Source organism: Homo sapiens, chromosome 16 (genome assembly GCF_000001405.40).
Source record: "Homo sapiens chromosome 16, GRCh38.p14 Primary Assembly".
NCBI classification, from domain to species: Eukaryota; Metazoa; Chordata; class Mammalia; order Primates; family Hominidae; genus Homo; species Homo sapiens.
Genome location: NC_000016.10, coordinates 50,202,304 through 50,221,741, shown reverse-complemented (window position 1 = coordinate 50,221,741; position 19,438 = coordinate 50,202,304). Strand labels below are relative to the sequence as shown.

The 19,438-nt window shown below is 41.4% G+C and overlaps 1 protein-coding gene across 10 annotated transcripts in view, besides 3 other annotated features; it reads right to left on the bottom strand.

Moving 5' to 3' along the window:
• TENT4B (terminal nucleotidyltransferase 4B) overlaps positions 1-19,438 on the bottom strand; it is an 82,400-nt gene that overhangs the window by 13,569 nt on the left and 49,393 nt on the right. For all 10 annotated transcript variants that reach the window (NM_001365323.2, XM_047434476.1, XM_011523275.4 and 7 more), the window contains 4 exons: positions 10,296-10,419; positions 7,475-7,521; positions 5,547-5,667; positions 4,079-4,186 (listed from right to left, as the gene is read on the bottom strand). In NM_001365323.2, coding sequence (NP_001352252.1) covers positions 4,079-4,186; positions 5,547-5,667; positions 7,475-7,521; positions 10,296-10,419 — 400 coding nt within the window. The remainder of the gene's footprint in view (positions 1-4,078; positions 4,187-5,546; positions 5,668-7,474; positions 7,522-10,295; positions 10,420-19,438) is intronic.
• Positions 10,870-11,164: a silencer, noted in NCBI's record as "tiled region #8986; K562 Repressive DNase unmatched - State 12:CtcfO". NCBI's record gives its function as "represses a minimal TATA promoter and a strong SV40 promoter by Sharpr-MPRA in K562 cells {active_cell/tissue: K562}" and the evidence as "EXISTENCE:reporter gene assay evidence [ECO:0000049][PMID:27701403]".
• Positions 11,681-11,740: an enhancer, noted in NCBI's record as "active region_10810". NCBI's record gives its function as "activates an Ori minimal core promoter by ATAC-STARR-seq in GM12878 lymphoblastoid cells {active_cell/tissue: GM12878}" and the evidence as "EXISTENCE:reporter gene assay evidence [ECO:0000049][PMID:35858748]".
• Positions 13,010-13,304: a silencer, noted in NCBI's record as "tiled region #14159; HepG2 Repressive non-DNase unmatched - State 7:EnhWF". NCBI's record gives its function as "represses a minimal TATA promoter and a strong SV40 promoter by Sharpr-MPRA in HepG2 cells {active_cell/tissue: HepG2}" and the evidence as "EXISTENCE:reporter gene assay evidence [ECO:0000049][PMID:27701403]".

Genomic DNA, 19,438 nt, shown 5'->3' with positions numbered 1-19,438 from the left:
ACAGCATGTAACTGATGATGCTCATTTGTGACCATGACCCTCTAATATTCATTTGTAAACAGAGAATAGAAAGAGTACAAGGACAAAGTAACCAACATCTTAAAGCACTAAATCAGTGAGATTTTTAAGAATCACTTTTCTTGGTGATGTACCACTGTAGACTAGCGACCTTTAGATTATTCTGCCACAGCCCTGGGGCAAACAAGAGTCCTGCCTGCTGACTTGCACATGGGCTGATGACTACACACAGACCACCCCTCCCTTCCACGCTTCACAGGGAATGAGGCAGGGCTACCCGAGAGAACACCTGAGTGGGCAAGTATGTACAGAATGAGTCCACCTTTTGCTGTGCACATATTCATTCACTCCTCTGTAAACCATGCCATAGGCTGGGGCCACGGAGGGAAACAAAGCAGGCACAACATCTTCAAAGAAGTCTTAACAGCTATTATTACTTAGGGTGGTAAAATTACTAGTGATTTCCATTTTTTTCCCCCTCATTCTGTCACCCAGGCTGGAGTACAGTAGCACAATCTTGGCTCATTGCAATCTCCAGCTCCTGGGCTCAAGTGATCCTCCGACCTCAGCCCACCATGCCCAGCTAATTTTTGTATTTTTGTAGAGACAGGGTTTCACCACATTGCCCGGGCTGGTCTTGAACTCCTAAGCTCAAATGATCTGCCTGTCTGGGCCTCCCAAAGTGTTGGGATTACAGGTGTGAAACATAGCACCTGGCCGGTGATTTCCATTTTTTTTTCTTTACTCTTATCTCTGTTTTCTAGATGTCCTACAATGAACACGCATGGCTTCTATAAAAAAGAAAAAAAAGCTTATACTTTTGCAAATTGTATCAAACTAAGCAAGCATAGGAAAGAACAAAAATATGGAGAAATAAGTATTTTTAAACATTGTGGGCTGGGCACGGTGGCTCATATCTGTAATCCCAGCACTCTGGGAGGCTGAGGCGGGTGGATCTCTTGAGGTCAGGAGTTCAAGACCAGCCTGGCCAACATGGAGAAACCCCATCTCTACTAAAAATACAAAAATTAGCCCAGCGTGGTGGCACACATATGTAGTCCCAGCTATTCTGGAGGCTGAGGCACAAGAATCGTTTGAACTCAGGAGGCGGAGGGTACAATGAGCCATGATCGCACCATTGCACTCCAGCCTGAGTGACAGAGCAAGACTCTGTCTCAAAAAACAAAACAAAACATGGTGGTTAAGTCAGTCTAGATACAGTTCCCTTTCAAAGAACAATTAGGGGTCAGGTGTGGTGGTTCATGCCTGTAATCCCAACACTTTGGGAGGTCAAGGAAGGAGGACTGCTTGAGCCCAGGAGTTTAAGAACAGCTTGGGCAACATAGCAAGACCTTATCTCTACTTAAAAAAAAAGAAAAAAAAAAGTGGCCACATAGCAAGACCTCATCTCTACTTAAAAAATAAAATAAAAAAGTGGCCGGGCTCAGTGGCTCACGCCTGTAATCCCAGCACTGCGGGAGGCTGAGGAGGGCGGATCACCTGAGGTCAGGGTTTGAGACCACCCTGGCCAACATGGTGCAACCACATCTCTACTACAAATACAAAAATTAGCTGAGCGTGGTGGTGTGCGCCTCTAATCCCAGCTACTCAGGAGGCTAAGGCAGGAGAATCGCTTGAACCTGGGAGACGGAGGTTGCAGTGAGCCAAGATCGCGCCACTGCACTCCAGCCTGGGCAACAGAGTGAGACTCCATCTCAAAAAAAAAAAAATTAAAAAAAAAGTTAGCCAGGTGTGGTGGGCAAGCCTGTGATCCCAGATACTCAGGCCAAGGTGGGAGGATCACTTGAGCCCAAGAAGCCGAGGCTGCAGTGAGCCATGATCACTGCGCTCTAGCCTGGGTAACAGAGTGAGACTCGGTGTCAAAAAATGAAAGAAAGGAAAAAAAGGAAGCAGAAGGAAGGAAAAGGGAAAGGGGAAGGAAGAAAAAGGAAGAAGAGAAAAGAGAAAAGAAAAGGGAGGGAAAGAAAAAGAGAGAAAAGGGAAAGGGAGGGATAGAGGAAGAGGGGGAGGGAGAAGAAAAGGGGGAGGGAGAGAGAGAAAATGAGAATATGAAAGAATAAATAATTAGGGAAATATCCAACAGAATTTTATCTGGATATACCCTTCGACCTCAAAATTTTGCTTTTGGGAATCTTTCTACAAACATTTTGCATGTGTAAAGCAAGATGCATGTATGGAAGTATATTCATCAATCCCTTTTTCTAATAGCAAAAGAAAACTGGAACAATACTGAAGAACTGCTAAATCAAGCAGTCACAGCCTTATAAAAGACTACTGCCTGTGTAACCAACAAAAAGAATAAAGCAAGCCTGTATGTGCTAATATGGAAGAAACCTCCAAAACATTAAGTTTTTATGAAGTTATAAGACAATGTGTGTATAATGTGCTACTCCTTTTGCTTATAATTTTAAAGAACATAAAAAAGCAACGCAAAAAACAATAATTGGCAATGAGAAATTCTGTAAAAATGATCTAAGTATCTATGGTGTAAGGGTGACTCACTTTACACTGTCTCTTTATACTGATGAATGTTATCATGCATATGAATTTCAATTTTTAAAAGTTTTTTCCAGAAAAAGAAAATATTAGACAGACACACACACACACACCCCCAATATAGTGCGATTATGGATAATCTTTCTTTTATTTTTCTGCTTTTCTGTCTTCCATACATTTATGCAAGATGATAATGCTTGTAACATCAAGTAGTTAACATTTTTTTCTTAAAAAACAAAAAAGAAGAAATAGAAACTTTAGAGCTGCTACAGAAAAAAAAAATTGTGAATATTCTAACAGAAGCCAAAGGAGTTAATGGCTTAGGTTAGAGGTGAGAAAGCTGACAACTACCTAAGTATGTAAAATGTTCCACAGATGATGGTGACAAATTATTCTCTATCTTGGAAGAAAACAGAATAGAAATAAACTTAAATAATTTCAAAACAGAAGTAAGGAAGCCTGTAGGAAACACCTTAAAGGTAATTTAGGGATTGAAATCTAGAAAAGGCTCTTAAAACTCTTAACCTATTTCCTGTTTAGGAAAAAAAAAAGTACAGCTGGGCACGGTGGCTCACGCCTGTAATCCGGGCACTTTGGGAGGCCGAGGTAGGCGGATCACAAGGTCAGGAGTTCGAGACCAGCCTGGCCAATATGGTGAAACCCCATCTCTAATAAAAATACAAAAATTAGCCAGGCATGGTGGCAGGTGCCTGGTACTCGTCCCAGGCACGAGTCCCAGGTACTCATGAGACTGAGGCAGAAGAATTGCTTGAACCCGGGAGGCGGAGGTGGCAGTGAACCAAGATCGTGCCACTGCACTCCAGCCCGGGTGACAGAGAGAGACTCTGCCTCGAAAAAAGAAAAAAAAAAAGTGCAGCTCACTGCCCGCACAGTATTCTTGGGGCATATGGGAAATGGGTTAAAGGAAAGGTTCTTAATCTGAACTCCTGAAGGTTAAAAACAGATGGAATCAACTGTGTAGTAGAATTCCATCTCTTCTGTCTCTACAAGGAAGGATCTAGAGCAGACAATTTCTTCAAAAGCTTTCTCAACTTTTAATTCTTACTTGAGGTCACATTATAAGTTAATCACTGATCATTACAAGCAGATTCAAAGAAAGCAAAACCGTTGCATACAAAAGTAAGGTGCAGGCTGAGCATGGTGGCTCATGCCTGTAATCCCAGTGCTTTGGGAGGCTAAGGCCAGGAGTTAAGAGACCAGCCTGGCCAACACAGCGAGACCCCAACACTAAAAAAAAAAAAAAAATACAAAAAATAGCCAGGTGTAGTGGCTCACGTCTGTAGTCCCAGCTACTTGGGAGGCTGAGGTGAGATGACCACTTGAACCCAGGAGTTTGAGGCTGCAGCGGGCCATGATCCAGCCACTGCACTCCAGCCTAGGTGACAGAGTGAGACCCTAGCTCTATTTAAAAGAGAGAGAGAGAGACAGCAACATGCATATAAAAATATTAGAACACCACCACAACAGAATCTTAAAATTACGTTTCTAATAGTTTTGTTGTATAAACGCTAAATTCTCTGACCTTGGTAAAATCTTTGATGAGGTCAGCTGCTCTCACGCCATTCTGTACATTAAAGCTGATATCAACTTTCACTTCAGTAAAAGAATCTGTTAATTTAATAATAGGTACCTATAAAGAGAAGAAAGGTAAAATGTAAATGCTTTAACCAGATTAAATGATAAAATCAGGGGATGGAAGCCTACTAGACATGAGGTCTCCATCATCTCATGAGAGCATAAGAACACTGAGTATTCTAAATATGGCACACCCCAGTAAACCTGGTCTGCTACAAATACTATATGCTGCATATTTAGCACTGGGTCCCATACAGTATATTACAGTATAATTTCTATCAACCGAGAATTTTGTTTGGTGTCCAATTTTTTATTATTTATTTTTATTGTTTATATTTAAGGTGTACATGTTTTGATATACTTATCTTGATATACATACTGAAGTGATTACTACAGTTAAATAAATTAATATGCCCATCATCTCATTTATTAGTTGACATATAGTTATAATGATAATTTTAAAATGAACAAAAACCTTCCTCAATAATTTGGAGAACACTTTCTGAGTATAAGATGAAGAACTAGGAATGCCAGGTATTAAATGTTTTGTATCATCAAACTGTTTCTAATAAGAAAATTGCTGGATTCTTAAGGTGTACACTACAACCCACTTGCATTACTGGTCAGTTTTGCAAATAGCCCAAAAAACAACCTGACAAGATAAAATATAAAAATTATTCTAAAAAGCTGACAGGATTATTTACATGAGCTATCAGCAGTTCTTTTCAAAAAATGGCCTAACTTGGGCAACACAGGGAGACCCTATCTCTACAAAAAAAAATTTTTTAAATAAGCAGGGCGTGGTAGGGTGCGCCTTAGTCCCAGATACACATAAGGCTGAGGTGGGAGGATCACTTGAGTCCAGGAGTTAGAGACCAGCCTGGGCAACATAGTGAGACTGTATCTCTCTAAAAAAAATGAATAAAACAAACAAAAATCTCTACAGTGAGTACTGTGTATAATAAAATTGCATATTTTGCTGCTGTGAAAAGAAATGCAGACCAGGTGCAGTGGCTCACGCCTGTAATCCCAGCATTTTGGGAGGCAGAGGTGGGTGGATCACTTGAGCCCAGGAGTTGGAGATCAGTCTGGGTAACACGGTGAAACCCCGTCTCTACAAAAAATACAACAAAATTAGCCAGGCATGGCAGGTTGTGTTTGTAGTACAGCTCCCCAAGAGGCTGAGGTAGAAGGATCACTTGAGCCGAGGAGGCACAGGTTGTAGTGAGCCGAGATTGTATGGTCACACTCCAGTGTGGACAACCAGAAAACTTTTTATGTGCAAGCACGGTGACATTAACAAAATGAAAGAATCACTCACTTGCAATGCAACTGTGCTCACCAAACTTTAATTTTAATTCAAGTTTCATAGGTAAATAACTAAGGATTTTAATATGAAATGCTGCAGAACTTACAGTTGCTTTGTCTAAAACTTTCACCGAATCCTCATCTGCGACTTTGTGTTTCCGAAGAGCTTCTTCCAGAGTCCAGAGGGGTAGGTTCTCCCACTTCCCAAACACCACTAGGTCGATGTCACTGAACACAGAATACATATACAAGAGGGTCGGAAGAAGTTGGAAACTTGTTTTAACTGACACTCATGCTTATAGACTTCATTAGTACAATTAAAACCTATTTCCCACCCTGGCCAACGAAGACTAAATGTGTTGGTGATAATGGTTTTGTGGAGAAGGGAAATAGTAGTTGTTGATTTTAACAAACTCCTCCTCTCAGTCATTTCACAGAATTCAGGCCTCAGGAAATAGGGTGATTTTGAAAGAAGTAAAACCTCAAAGAAAAAAAAACAAAAAGCACTTCATGTATTTTCTTTAATAAACGCTTGTGGTACTAGACATAATGATTTTCCTATCCGGATGAGATTAATTGCAACTCAGAAATATTATGAAGTGCTTTAAGCTGGATGCAGAACAGGTATCCAGCATGCTACCATTTGTGTTAATATACACACATGTCCTTTTATATGCACAGATATCTCTGAAAGGATATGTGAGAAACTGGTAAAAGCGGCTGTTCCAAGGAGAACCAGGGGGCAGAGGTGGGACTGAGACTTTTCCCTGTATTGATTTTTGTGCCTTTTCCAAATGTGAACTATGTGAATGTACTACCTATTCATAAAATTTAATTAAATTTTTTAAGAAAGGTGATTTTTCATGTTTTACTGATGCTGACAACCTAAATAAGAAATATTAACTCGAAGTTGAGTATTTTATGACTTTTGCAGGCCAAGGGCATCTATGAGAAGAACGGAAATTGCCAGGGTCCATCCACTTCAGCACACTTTAAGTTGGGGTAAAGTATACCAAATCAAGCTCAAATGGAAAAACATGATGCTGACTTTATTCTGGAGAGATTAAAATTTAAGGTAATAATAATAATAACCATGATGGAATGTTCAAACAATTTCAATTCTTAGAGAGCAAGTATTCACCCTTTGGAGAAACATTATCATTTCCCAAAAGAGAGCCTCCAAGGCTGTGCGTCACAAGAGGTCTCATTTGAGAAGACTGAAACTGAACAACAGTCCTGAAAGGCCAAGATCTTTCTCAGAGAAGAGATCTGTACCCTGAATTTCTGGATCAGGATGCTGGAGCCATAACTAGTAGAATGAGTTCTTAATTTGAAAGCGAGGGTGAGTGTAAGAGTGAGTGAGCAAGACAGCGGGAACTCACATTCAAGAGGATATATAATCAGACATTTTATCATGATACTACATTAACATCTGTGTCAGTGGGTTAAGTTATGGGACTGAGCAATACTCTGCCAGGCAGTCAATTTCTAAAATTAGTAACTAATTGATTCCATTGCAACATGATCCCTTTTCCATCTCTCTGTACCATCTATGTCTTGGTAAGATGATGTGAAGTGATATTCTACTTCAAGGTAAATCAAATTAAATGCTGGTAAATCCTTTATTTATTTACTTACTTATTTTTTGAGACAGAGTCTTGCTCTGTCGCCCAGGCTGGAGTGCAGTGGCGCGATCTCGGCTCACTGCAACCTTCACCTCCCGGGTTCAAGCAATTCTCCTGCCTCAGCCTCCTGAGTAGCTGGGATTACAGGTGCGCACTGCTACGCCTGGCTAATTCTTGTATTTCTAGTAGAGATGGGGTTTTACCATGTTGGCCAGGCTGGTCTTGAACTCCTGACCTCAAATGATCCACCCTCCTTGGCCTCCCGAAGTGCTAGGATTACAGGCATGAGCCACCATGCCCAGCCCCATTTTGTTTTATAAATTTGTTTTGTTTCTACTCCTTACAAATTTGACAGCCAAAATGAATACACTCTAAGAAAAGTCCTTTGAAAGATTCATGAGTGTACTAACCTAGTAGGTAAATAAAGTCCAGTTTTAAAACTTCCAAATATCTGGACCTGAAACAGAAAAAGAAGTTGTTATTATATTGAGTTATCAGAAGTTGTTATCATATTGAGTCACCAAGATATGGAGAAATGTCAGTTTTTGCTACCCTCTACTGGTACTTTTTGGTATGACAAGAGCATTTTTTTCTAACCCCAAGCTTCATGAAGCGGGGATTCTGTTTCACAAGCAGACATTCTGAATATAATTTAAACTTATCTGGTTCAATATGAAACACATAGACCAAAATACAGTTGTCCCTTGGTATCGGCAGGAGATTGGTTCCAGTCCCACCATGCCAAAATCTGAAGATGCTTGAGTCCCTGCTATAAAATGGTAGAGTATTTGCATGCAACCTATGCTAGTCCTCCCATGTACTTTACATCATCTTTAGATTACTTATAATACCTATAATACCAAGTATGATGTAAATGCTACCTAAATAGTTGTTATACTGTATTTTTAAAATAATTTGTATTGTTTTTATTGGTACATTGTTATTTTTATAGTTTTTTCTGAATATTTTCAATCCATTGTTGGTTTAATATGGAGGTGTGGTACCTGTGGATACAGAAAGCCAACCACAGGAAACTTTCAGAAGCAGTTCAGATCACTAATGTTCCCTCATTATCCAGAGACACAATCACAAATCCTTCATTTTTGTTCTCTAAGCAGGAGTCTTCGAATAGATTACTAAATTGGGATCAGACTACTTTAACTGTAGGGCAAGTGAGGGCCTTTAGGTCAATTCCACAAAGAACATCAGGTAACATCATGCTGTGGCATAAAACTGGGATGCATTCCATCTCAACCCATGGAGAACGGTGGAACTCAGGCAGAAATATGTATGCAGGTAATTGTAATAAAAAAAGGATAGGCCGGGCACAGTGGCTCACGCCTGTAATCCCAGCACTTTGGGAGGCCAAGGCAGGTGGGTCACCTGATGTCAGGAGTTCAAGACCAGCCTGGCCAACATGATGAAATCCCACCTCTACTAAAATTACAAAAATCAGCCAGGTGTGGTGACGGGCGCCTGAACCCCAGCTACTTGGGAGGCTGAGACAGGAAAATTTCTTGAACCTGGGAGGCAAAGGCTGCAGTGAGCTGAGATCATGTCACTGCACTCCAGCCTGGGCGACAGAGCGAGACTCCATCTCGGGGGAAAAAAATGATAAACAGTGAAACCAGTTCAACCTCTGAGGCGAGATGGACCTGGGAACCTAACCACAAGCTCATGTTCCTCATCTGTAGGTAGACAGATGATGGCTGCCTGGCTGGCTGGAGAGAAAGAGATAGATAGATAATCAACCTCCACCTAAGAAAGATAAGGGTTAAGTTAGATCACGGCTTCTCAACATTGGCATTTGGGGGTGGATAATTCTTTGTTGTAAGGGCCTATACTGTTCATCATAGAATGGCTGATGGCATCCATGGCCTCTACCCACTAGGTACTAGCAGTGCGTACCCAGTCAGGACAATCAAATATGTCTCGGACATTGCCAAATGCCCCCTGGAGAACAAAATAGCCACTAGCTGAGAACCACTGATTTGGATCACATAGGAGAAAGAATGCGATGTATGGTCATTGCTCATAAAACATTAGTACCCTTGCCTTTTCCCTTTACCTACAGTGTCATATACATACTGTCATATACTTGCAAGTTTTACATACAATGAAACTTCTTTGTTTTGCCAATTGGAAAAAAACCTTCCCTAGCTTCCCACCACCACCCAGGACAGTGCCTGAAGAAAAGCTACAAACACAAAGTAATGGATTTTATTAGTATTATTTTGTGTACTTCTTTGCATACACAAAATTGTAGAACAGGCCCTCAAAGTGCCCTAAAAAGTGACGTATTAACTTAGTACCAGTAACAGGCCAAGTGTGGTGGCTCACACCTGTAATCCTAGCACTTTGGGAGGCCAAGGCGGGCACATTGCTTGAACCCAGGAGTTCAAGACCAACCTGGGCAACATAGTGAGACTCAGTCTCTACAAAAAAATACAAAAATTAGCTAAGTGTGGTGGCGTGCACCTGCAGTCCCAGCTACTCGGGATGCTGAGGTGGATCACCTGAGCCCAGGAAATCGAGGCTGCAGTAAGTCGTGATCGCACTATTGCACTCCAGCCTCAGCAACAGAGTGAGACCCCATCTCAAAAACAAAAAACAAAAGACTTAGTACCAGTAACAAAAACGACAAATAAGCCAAGAAGAAATCCTGAGTAATCATTTTGTTCACTGACTGGGAGCTGTCTAAAAGGCAATTAGCTGGTCTGAGAGAGATGAAAAATGGCAATTTCAGGAAAGAAATAAGAAAAGACTTATGCGTGCATTAGCCAAAGGAAATGAACTTCAAGTGACAAAAGTTCTTACTTGACATTTTCATTTAGCTGTAAACAATTATATAATGTTTACCCTGGCAGGCTGGAACTAAGTAGTAATGAGGTTTTGATATATCATATCCAATAACAGACCACTACAACAATGAGGTTTGATTTGTCTTTCTTCTCTTTACACTAATAATTTCTAAGGATAGCTTGCCTTTAGTAGTTGCTATTAGCACTACAAAAAAAAAATAGTTGTTAGTCATCCAATCCAATGAAAATAGTTAGGAAGCCTCAATTCTAAAGACTGCAGAAAATTGTTTGCCTTTAAAATTTAATTAGACCACAACTCTACAGAGCACTTCTACTTGCATGTGAGGACTAGCATGAGATACCAGCAGATAGGCTTCTAGCCCGTGGACAAGGACTGTCCGAAGCATAAGCTACCCAGGAAGGGACTCACGTCAGCGCTGGGCCAGAGCTCCTTAATTACACTCTCGATCCTGTTCACCACCTCCATCCGCATCTTCTCCTCCTCAGGTCTTGGAGACATGTATTCATAAAAATCACTGATTTCTTCATGCAGACTGAAGAAAAAAACAGAAAAGTTAATATGAACAGGGCCAATCTAATGAGAAATCACTATCTTAAATAATCTTATCTAATTAAGTCTTATAATTCAGCTGATGACTACCTTAATTTTAATGTTATAACTCAAGATAAGCTAAAATGGGAATGTACAGAATTTAATCAAAAAACCCAAAATAATTAAATAATGAGAAATTTCCTGTGCAAAACACTTGCTGGGGTGCTGGTGATTTAAATAAAATAAAACAAGCATACGGGCTGGCCTCTGCCTTTCCACTTCTGATCTAATAGACACAAGATACTGAACCCAGGTGACACAGGCAAGTTTCCTGGCAGTAGGGACTGACCCTCTTATCTCTTGGGGATCCATTCCTCACAGTAGCAAACAGTACATCTTTCATAATGTTTGCTCAGTGAATTAAGTGTCAAATGAACAAATCAGGCAGTGAACAACAGCAAAGTCTTGAAAAGAATGGCTGGCAAAGGCTCCATGAAGGAGCTGAAGACTTCCAGAGCCTGCGAGGTACAGGGCAATCAGCCAGCTACAAGGGCTGTGGCAGGCAGAGTGGGAGAAGCATCTGTAGAGGAAAGCAGGCCCCAGCAGAGGGCAGGCTCTGAATGACTGGCTAAGAGGTTCAAGCTTTCCCCCTGTGGCAACAGATAGCTATTTAAATGTTTCTGAGAGGGACCAAAAGAGACTGACTTCAAAAATGCAGCATTTTAAGAAGATTAAACTGGCAACTATGGAAACAATGGACCAGCAAAGAGACTAGACTGGATGCAGGGAAAAGTCATGAATCACTGAGTTGCAAAAGGATTGGATGAAGGCCTAGAGGCTGGTGGAAGGAAAGGAATGGGCTCCAGAAACAAAAGACACACACATACCCACACCCTGCGGATAGGCGCAGCGCCTGACTATCATGGTGGTGGGGGGCTAAGGATGCCTTCAAGGGCTGAAGCCTGAGGGACTGGGGGAAAACTACTGGTCTGGAAGAAAGGACAAACTCACTGGGCTGAGCAATGACTTGAACATAGTCAGGACGGGGGACAGAGAGAAAAGCAGCATTCCTTTCTAAGTTGGTGAGGCTGTGAAGAGCTATGGCTGGGAAGGGAAAGTGAAGTGGTCAGCTCACCTTCCCTAGAGCACTGACCACCCACGAGGACTGAGCCACAGAGGTAAGCACAGGGACTCTACCAACTGGGATAGACCAGAAGGCTCGGAGCAACAGGTGCAAAGTGCCTTAGGGGAAGGAGGGGCAGGGGGTTTGGCCTGGGGCACAGCAGTGGTAAGGAAGGGCAGCCACAGCTTAACAGAGCCTTGAAGGAGGAGCATGTCTGCAACTGCATGGCAACTTCAGGGTCCAGAGCAGGAAGCTCGAAAAACTGGCAGGCCAAAAATTGTTTTAGGGAAGGAAAAAAAAGTGTCTACATCCCAATCCCCAAAGACTATAACTTTTGCTACAAGAAACCTTAGAAAGTGAAAATGTGACTGATTAAGCAATCCATAGTTCCTCCTTCTGATTTTTTATTTTTAGCCTAAGAGTCAAAAACCTTGAGTTCTAGACTCAGGTTCTGCCTGAGGGCAGCTGTGTTCCCTCTGACAGGTGACTGGCACTCTCAGGCTTCAGTGTGTCAGGTACAGCACACAGCTGGTAAGCAGGAGCCTTTTCAGGCCTTCAGTTTCAAAACCTGGGCCTTTCGTAGAGGATGATTTACAACAGCGTTCGGCCTGTTTGCTATGCAATATGTCATAAAACGTGGATCTTAAAACTCCAGAGAGGTCTGTAGGTGAATCCAGAAGATATCCCAGTGGGGACGTTTTCCTTGCTATGCCTCTGGGTACCTCAGGACCTTCAACTTCCGTTTCGAAGTTTTGTTTTGATTTGAGTTTCCCAGGTTTGATTATGTTCTCTAAGGTTATCTAAACCCTTCTGCTTCTTGAAGACAGCAGCTGAATGGGAATAGCTGTTAGGAAGCTTATGCTTTGCTGTGCTCTTCTGCACAGGTTGGCTGGCAAAGATGAGGGCCATGAATAAACGACAGAACAAATGGACTGCTTCTTATCTCATTGCGTAGTCTGCTGTGAGTGATCGGAGTTTATTTGTAGTTCTAAAGCAGATCCATAGAAAAACTGCATTTTAACCAATGGGGGGGAAAAATCTCCTAAATGTGACTGCATCTACTCTCAAGGCCCCCTTACGAATTTTCTAATTCAAATAAAGGCAAAAAATATTTAGCACAACTGCCAGTCAATCTGAAGTCATAAGAAACTTATTAAGAATTCATTCTCTGGCCAGGCGCAGTGGCTCACGCCTGTAATCCCAGCACTTTGGGAGGCTGAGGCAGGCAGATCGCCTGAGGCCAGGAGTTGGAGACCATCTGGCCAACACGCAAAACCCCATCTCTACTAAAAATATAAAAATTAGCTGGGTGTGGTGGCGCATGCCTGTAATTCCAGCTCCTCGGGAGGATGAGGCACAAAAATCACTTCAACTTGGGAGGTGGAGGCTGCAGTGAGCTGACACCGTGCCACTGCAATCCAGCCTGGGCAATGGAGTGAGACTTTGTCTCAAAAAAAAAAAAGACAATTCATTCTCTAAACACTACCAAGTGCCTATGTTCAAGGCACTAGGAGAAAACTGGCTCATAAAACATGATCCTTGCCCTGGGTCACTTCCATCTAACAATGAAAAGGAACACTTATTTAAAGCAGTTTTGTAGTGTGTGCAATGCATATGTTCTGTACTATTCTGCCACAGGCAGCTTCCAGATGAATGATTCAGAGCTTTCCAATGATCACAGCTGCCCAGGATGGACTGGGTCACCTTGTAGGTTAGTAAGGTTCCTGTTACTACCAGCATAAAGAAACCAGATGACCATGAGGCAAACAAAGGTCCAATAAAAGGGCTTTCTGAGCTTGGTAAAAAGTTGGAAAAGATTCTAAAATTCACTTTCAGTGCTGCAATTCTAGGGTTCTAACTAGCACATTAATTTGGGGGGAATTATTATAGATTTATAAGACAGGCTCTGAAGACTACCCTCAACAATCAATAGCCCATGGCACCACCTTCCTATTTTAGAAAAAATGGTTCCACAGGTTATTGTATTTTGATTGATGCATATTTGCCACACTGGAAGGAGAAAAGAGGAATACAGAAAAAGAGGAGGGCTATTATTAAAGCAAAGCCACACTTGCAAAGTCAGAAGAGGAAATCCAATCTCGGGTCTGCCAGGCTCAGTTTCTCATCCACACCAGGCACAAGCATCACCATCTCACCTATATGTAACTAGCTACGTGTGAAATACTCAGAGAACAACCAGATAAAATATCTTGGAATACTGAGGAAATAAACTTCAAGTACAGATTTTAAAATAATTCTAACAGGCTCTATCCTCAGGACTGAGTAATTTTACTGGCACAGTGCCTTGCATATTCAGGCACTTAAAATACCCTGACGAGCTGGAAGTCCGTTTGTAGAGTGTGCACTGTAAGTCTGGCTCTCATTTGAGTGGCAGAGTGGACCACCTGAGGAATTTTGTAGGCTTGCTTTCACATGGTAATATAATTTTATGCCTCTGAAAGCATCCAAGTACACAGAGAAAACTTCAGTTTCTCCCATGTTTGGATCAAAATTTAATATGATTTATGAGTAGGTATTGCTGGATGACACATGCCCATTGTTACAGTTTCTCATATGAAATTATAAAATACATCATACTGAACTAAGAATGATGAAAAAAAGTATAGAATACAACTCTTCCGTGATCTGAACCTGTATGTACCCAAAATACAGTGCCCTCTCTAGGATATCAATGTTTTTATGTTAAAAGGAAAAGTGGCTCGGGCACAGTGGCTCACGCCTGTAACCCTAGCATTTTGTGAGGCTGAGGCGGGTGGATCGCTTGAGTCCAGGAGTTCGAGACCAGCCTGGATGACATAGTGAAACCCCATCTCTACAAAAATACAAAAAAATTAGCCAGGCGTGATGGTGCACGCCTGTAATCCCAGCTACTCAAGAGGCTAAGGTGGGAGAATCGCTTGAGCCCGGAAGACAAAACTTGCAGTGGGCTGAGATTGTGCCTCTGTTCTCCAGCCTGGGCAACAGAGCAAGACTCCGTCTCAAAAAAATAAAAAAATTTTTAAAAAAGGAAAAGTGAACAAGATCCCTGTTCACAAAAGAAAAGTCATATAAAAGCAGTATGATAAAATGAGCACCACTATACAACGGGAAAGGATGCCAAAAAAAAAAAAAGAGAGAGCAAGAGAAACAAAATTAATTTGCTGGGGTAAAATTTACATTAAAATCTCAAAATTAATAACAGAACATTTAATATGACAAGGAGGTGTCCAAAAAACAGATTCCATATTTAAAAAATAAAACTCACAGGTAATTTAGGTTAAAAAAAAAAAACAAACTTCTGTTCTGAGGAAAGATCTGCTACAGAAAAGGAATCCAGCCTATCAAAATTATGTGAATTTTATAATGCTTGTCATGGGGTGGGAGGTTCAAGATCTTTGGCTGGAAAAGGAAGAACCATTTCGCATCCTTCAGCTGGACCACCCTGGGCACACTGTGAGTTGCTTAGTAGCTTCTGCATTCTCAAAACCAAAGGCAAGGTGGAAAGCTCCCTTGTGCCTTCTAGGCCAAGGGAGGCAGATGACCCACGGCCAGCCCCTCTGCTCAGCACCGTCCCCTGCGGCTCATCCATGTTTCTGTTCAGGGATGACACTGCTTCCCAAGAGATACCTGCCCAGACACAGCATGTCTGAGCCCACCTCCACATCAAGGTCCAGCTTTCCCAGTTCCATAACTGAAGTCAGACCTGTTTTATTACCAAATTCATCCCTTACATGAAGGAACTGACAAAGTTCTATTCGATAACTGTCAATAACAGGACATCCCTCCACCAAAACAAACTGTCAATAACAGGACATGCCCCCACCAAAAAAAAAAAAAAAAAAAAAATACATACATATATATTTATCTCTTAAGGTTCATGATATCCAATTTTGAAACAATATATTGAAAAGGCATTCATATGCATGTGGGGAAGTATAAATTACTACAATCTCTCCTGAGGTCATTCTACTAACAAACGATAATGTTTACACAAATAATTTTTAAAATTTCCCTTCTTTCCATCCTCCAGAAATATTTTCATGAGGGAACAAGGATATCTGTATAAGGATGCTCACCACAGGATTAATTAGGATACTAAAAAATTTAGAAATGATATCAATGTCCATCAACAGGATCCAATTAAATAACAACAGAAGCACCCATAAAGCACTTTCCCTTTATAGCCAATAACCTCTTAAAAAAATAAAGCTATATAAGCTGATAAAGATGTCAAATATGTTAAATTGGAAAGAAAAAGCATAAAAAATGTGTTCAGCAGAATCTCTTTTGTGTGCGTTAGACATGTGCAGGGGCAGAAGCAGTGGCTCACACCTGTAATCCCAGCACTTTGGGAGGCTGAGGCGGGTAGATCACTTGATGTCAGGAGTTTCAGACCAGCCTGGCCAACATGGCGAAACCCCATCTCTACTAAAAATACAAAAATTAGCTGGGTGTGGTGGCAGGCGCCTGTAATTCCAGCTACTCGGGAGGCTGAGGCATGAGAATCACTTGAACCCAGGAGGCAGAGATCACAGCAAGCTGAGATCATGCCACTGCACTCCAGCCTGGATAACAGAGCAAGACTCTGTCTCAAAAAAAAAAAAAAAAAAAAAAAAAAAAAAAAAAAAAAAAAAAAAAAAAAGACATGTAAACACATACACACAGAGGCAGACACACAAAATGTTCCTATTTGCATTGCAAGTTTTCTGGAAGGAGAACTGTTAACAGATATTACCTTAGGGACAGGGACTTTTGCCCAGTGGAGGGCACAGGCAGGAGAGTTAGGAAGACTTTAACTTATTTTTGTATCTTTCTGTACTATTATAATTTTTTTTAAAAAATCAGCATGTATTTGTCCACTTTTGAAACAGAGATTATTGTCTGCTTGATGAGATTATAGTCCAGGAGATTTGTTGTCACCTTTATATTTTCCCATGTGAAAAATATGGTTGTGAGTATGCATGTTCCACCCACTAACCAGCCCTCTGCCCGCCCCACACAGAACAGGGTCTATATACGATACTGTTAACAGTGATCACATCCGAAGAGGGACTGGGGGGGTCATTTTAAGAAAAATGCATACATGTTAATTACCACTGTATATTTTTAAAACAAGAACTTCATCATAAAAAAATTCATTAAAGAAAACACAAAGCAGAAACACTTAAATTACTCTAATAATCTAGCCTTGCAGACACACTTCGAAAGAGGGTGATATGGGCCGGCTGTGGAAGGAGCTCAGTGGTCAGCCTGTGGGCAATACTGACAGCTGGGGACACAGAAGACCTCCAAACCCAGGAATGCAGTGACAGCACACACCAGTACATTTTGCAAAGTTTCTGCATGCCCAGTGCAGTGTGTGTGGTGAGTTTCTGCTAGTGTCTGGCCCATCCTTTCTGGGATTATTTATATACTCAAACGCGTTGCAAGGCAAATTTCTGGAAGAATACACAAAAACTGCTAGCAGGACTTTCCTCTGGGGTGGAATAGAGGTCTGAATTTGCATGATTTTGTACTGTTTGATTTTCTTCAAGCCTGCCTAGACACCAAGAGAAGCGAGTGACTCAAGGCCCTGGGGTGATGGCAGGGCAATCTGGGTGACATCTTCAGGAGACTGCAGATGGATCTTTACCAAGAAACTCATGCACACATCCAGCCTCCTCCTATACTTGCAGCTACCAGCTAGACATCCCTACAAAGATGTCACCTCGAACTAAACAAGTCCAAAACACAACTGCTTGTCATTCTCTTAAACCTATTCCTACTCCTGTGTTTTCTTCCCTGAGTTACTGTTTCCTTGAGTGGAAACTTCAGTCTTCCTTGGTTCACCTTTCTTCATCTACGGAGCCAAGAGGTTTCCAAATCCTTGTTCCCAAAACCAAAAAACAAAACACTTCCAAATCAGACCCTGCCCCTCCACCTTCCCTGACCGTGCTCTGAGTTCAAGTCTTTTTCTCTCTCAGTAGAACACTATGGCAGCCTCCAAACTGGTCTCCCTACTATGAGCCTCTCCCTTTTCCAGGCCATTGCTGCATGATTACTGAAGTCCCCTTCCTTAGCCTATCTGTGTCACTTCCAACCTCCTTATGGTAACACTGCCTACCTTTCTAGCCTCACTCCCAAGAGCTTCCGAGCCCTCTTCTACGACAGCCCCACAGAACTGGACCAGGGCACGCCTTGCTTTTTCAAGAATCACCTTCTCACTCAGCTCAAATATTAGCTCCTCTGTAAAATTCCCAGAGGCAGAATGACTTCAGAGCCTCCTGGGGGCTCCTGGAGCATGGCAGACCAGGCCTACCCGTGGCAGAGCAGTCAGGCTTACAGGCCTCCCTATTCAGACTCAACTCTTCCTGCTTCGGGCTCTGTGTGCCCAGATGCAGGACTCAACACAGAGAAGCACCTCCTTAGGGAGGGACCTTCTGTTCACAGGGGGACATCTACCCACCCCAATGTCCACAGAGTCTCAAAAGGGACATGATGTTCCTTAAAATGAGCTCCGAACCAGAATCCAAGAAAATGGATGCTCACACAGTGTGGCTGAGAACTGACAAAACCAGAAGGAGGACAATTTGACCCAAGAACTATAGATGTCCGCTGTCCTTAAAGAAGGCAATTACACCTTTCAGAATGTAGGCAAAGGAAGTCTGCATGTGCACAGAGATAGGTCGATAAGAAAATATTCACAATGAACATGTAATTTTCTTTAAAAAGCCAAGGTTTACAAGTGGAATGCCTAATGGCTTTCAATTTTAAAGTTTACACAACGTGCCTACCTTCTACAGTACTGATAACAATACAAGGTCACTTGAAAAAGGCCATGCCTAAATAGGAAGCTCTCCAGTTCCAAAGCAGAAAGACAAAAAGCCCTCTCTCTCCTCTATTTGTGGACAAGAAACTCATTCCCTCCCCTAAATAATTTGTACCATCTCCCAAGATTTAAAAAAAACAAGAGAGAAAATACAGATGATGACATACAGATTTAAATACAGAAATAAAGATTTAAAAGGAAAAAGAAGAGCCCATATATCTTACTTTTATGAATGCTGCAGGCATTTACAACAGTGAATCATGGCTAAGGAATGCCATATTTGCTATGGCAACCCTTCCTTGGTTAGGACATGAGAGTAAAAGTACAGGGAATGGATACTCGTCTATGTGTCCTAAATTACAGTTTTCATTTTTTTCTTCTTTTAAGAGGTACTCGTGCCTGCTTTCCTAGAAATTAGAGCATTCCTTTTAAATGCCACTGCCAGTTGCACTCAATTTCTGGACTACAGTTTTTTAGGCCAATGTTTCAGAAGGATGGTTTTTCAGTTGATTTCCTCTTGGTCCCTTCCCACTTTGCTGCTATGAAAAGAGATAATGAAAACCACGCGATTCTCCCCAGGCCTCTTTCTTTTGCCACCCAGCCTTACTACTACTTTCAATTGATTATAAAGAGAGAACAAGAAAAGAAATCATTACCCAAGAGTTGCTTTATCTAATTTGGGTCAAAAATTCTTTCCCCTTCCAATAAAATTTCTGAATTACCCAAACTACTCTTGAGTAGTTCTAACCAAATTTGGGCAAAGTTAGGAAGCTTAAAGAAGAACGGTTGATGGTATTCCCTAAGATCAAGGATCTTGAAACTAAAGCTTGATTAATAAATGTATTCCTCAAATGGGAAATCCTCAAATATCTGAGTGAAGAAAAAAAACAAAGCACAAATAAACAAAGTTTAATCTTTCCTTAGCTACAAGGTCCAAATGCCAATAAAAAGTTTGTTATATTCTTAAATATTAATAATGAAATATGGATGTGTTTAACCCACATAATCCCAATACCAAAACTTCATTTATGTATTCATTTGTTGTTTACCTTTAGTGGAAGGGCTGGTGTTTAAGAATAGATACTGCTC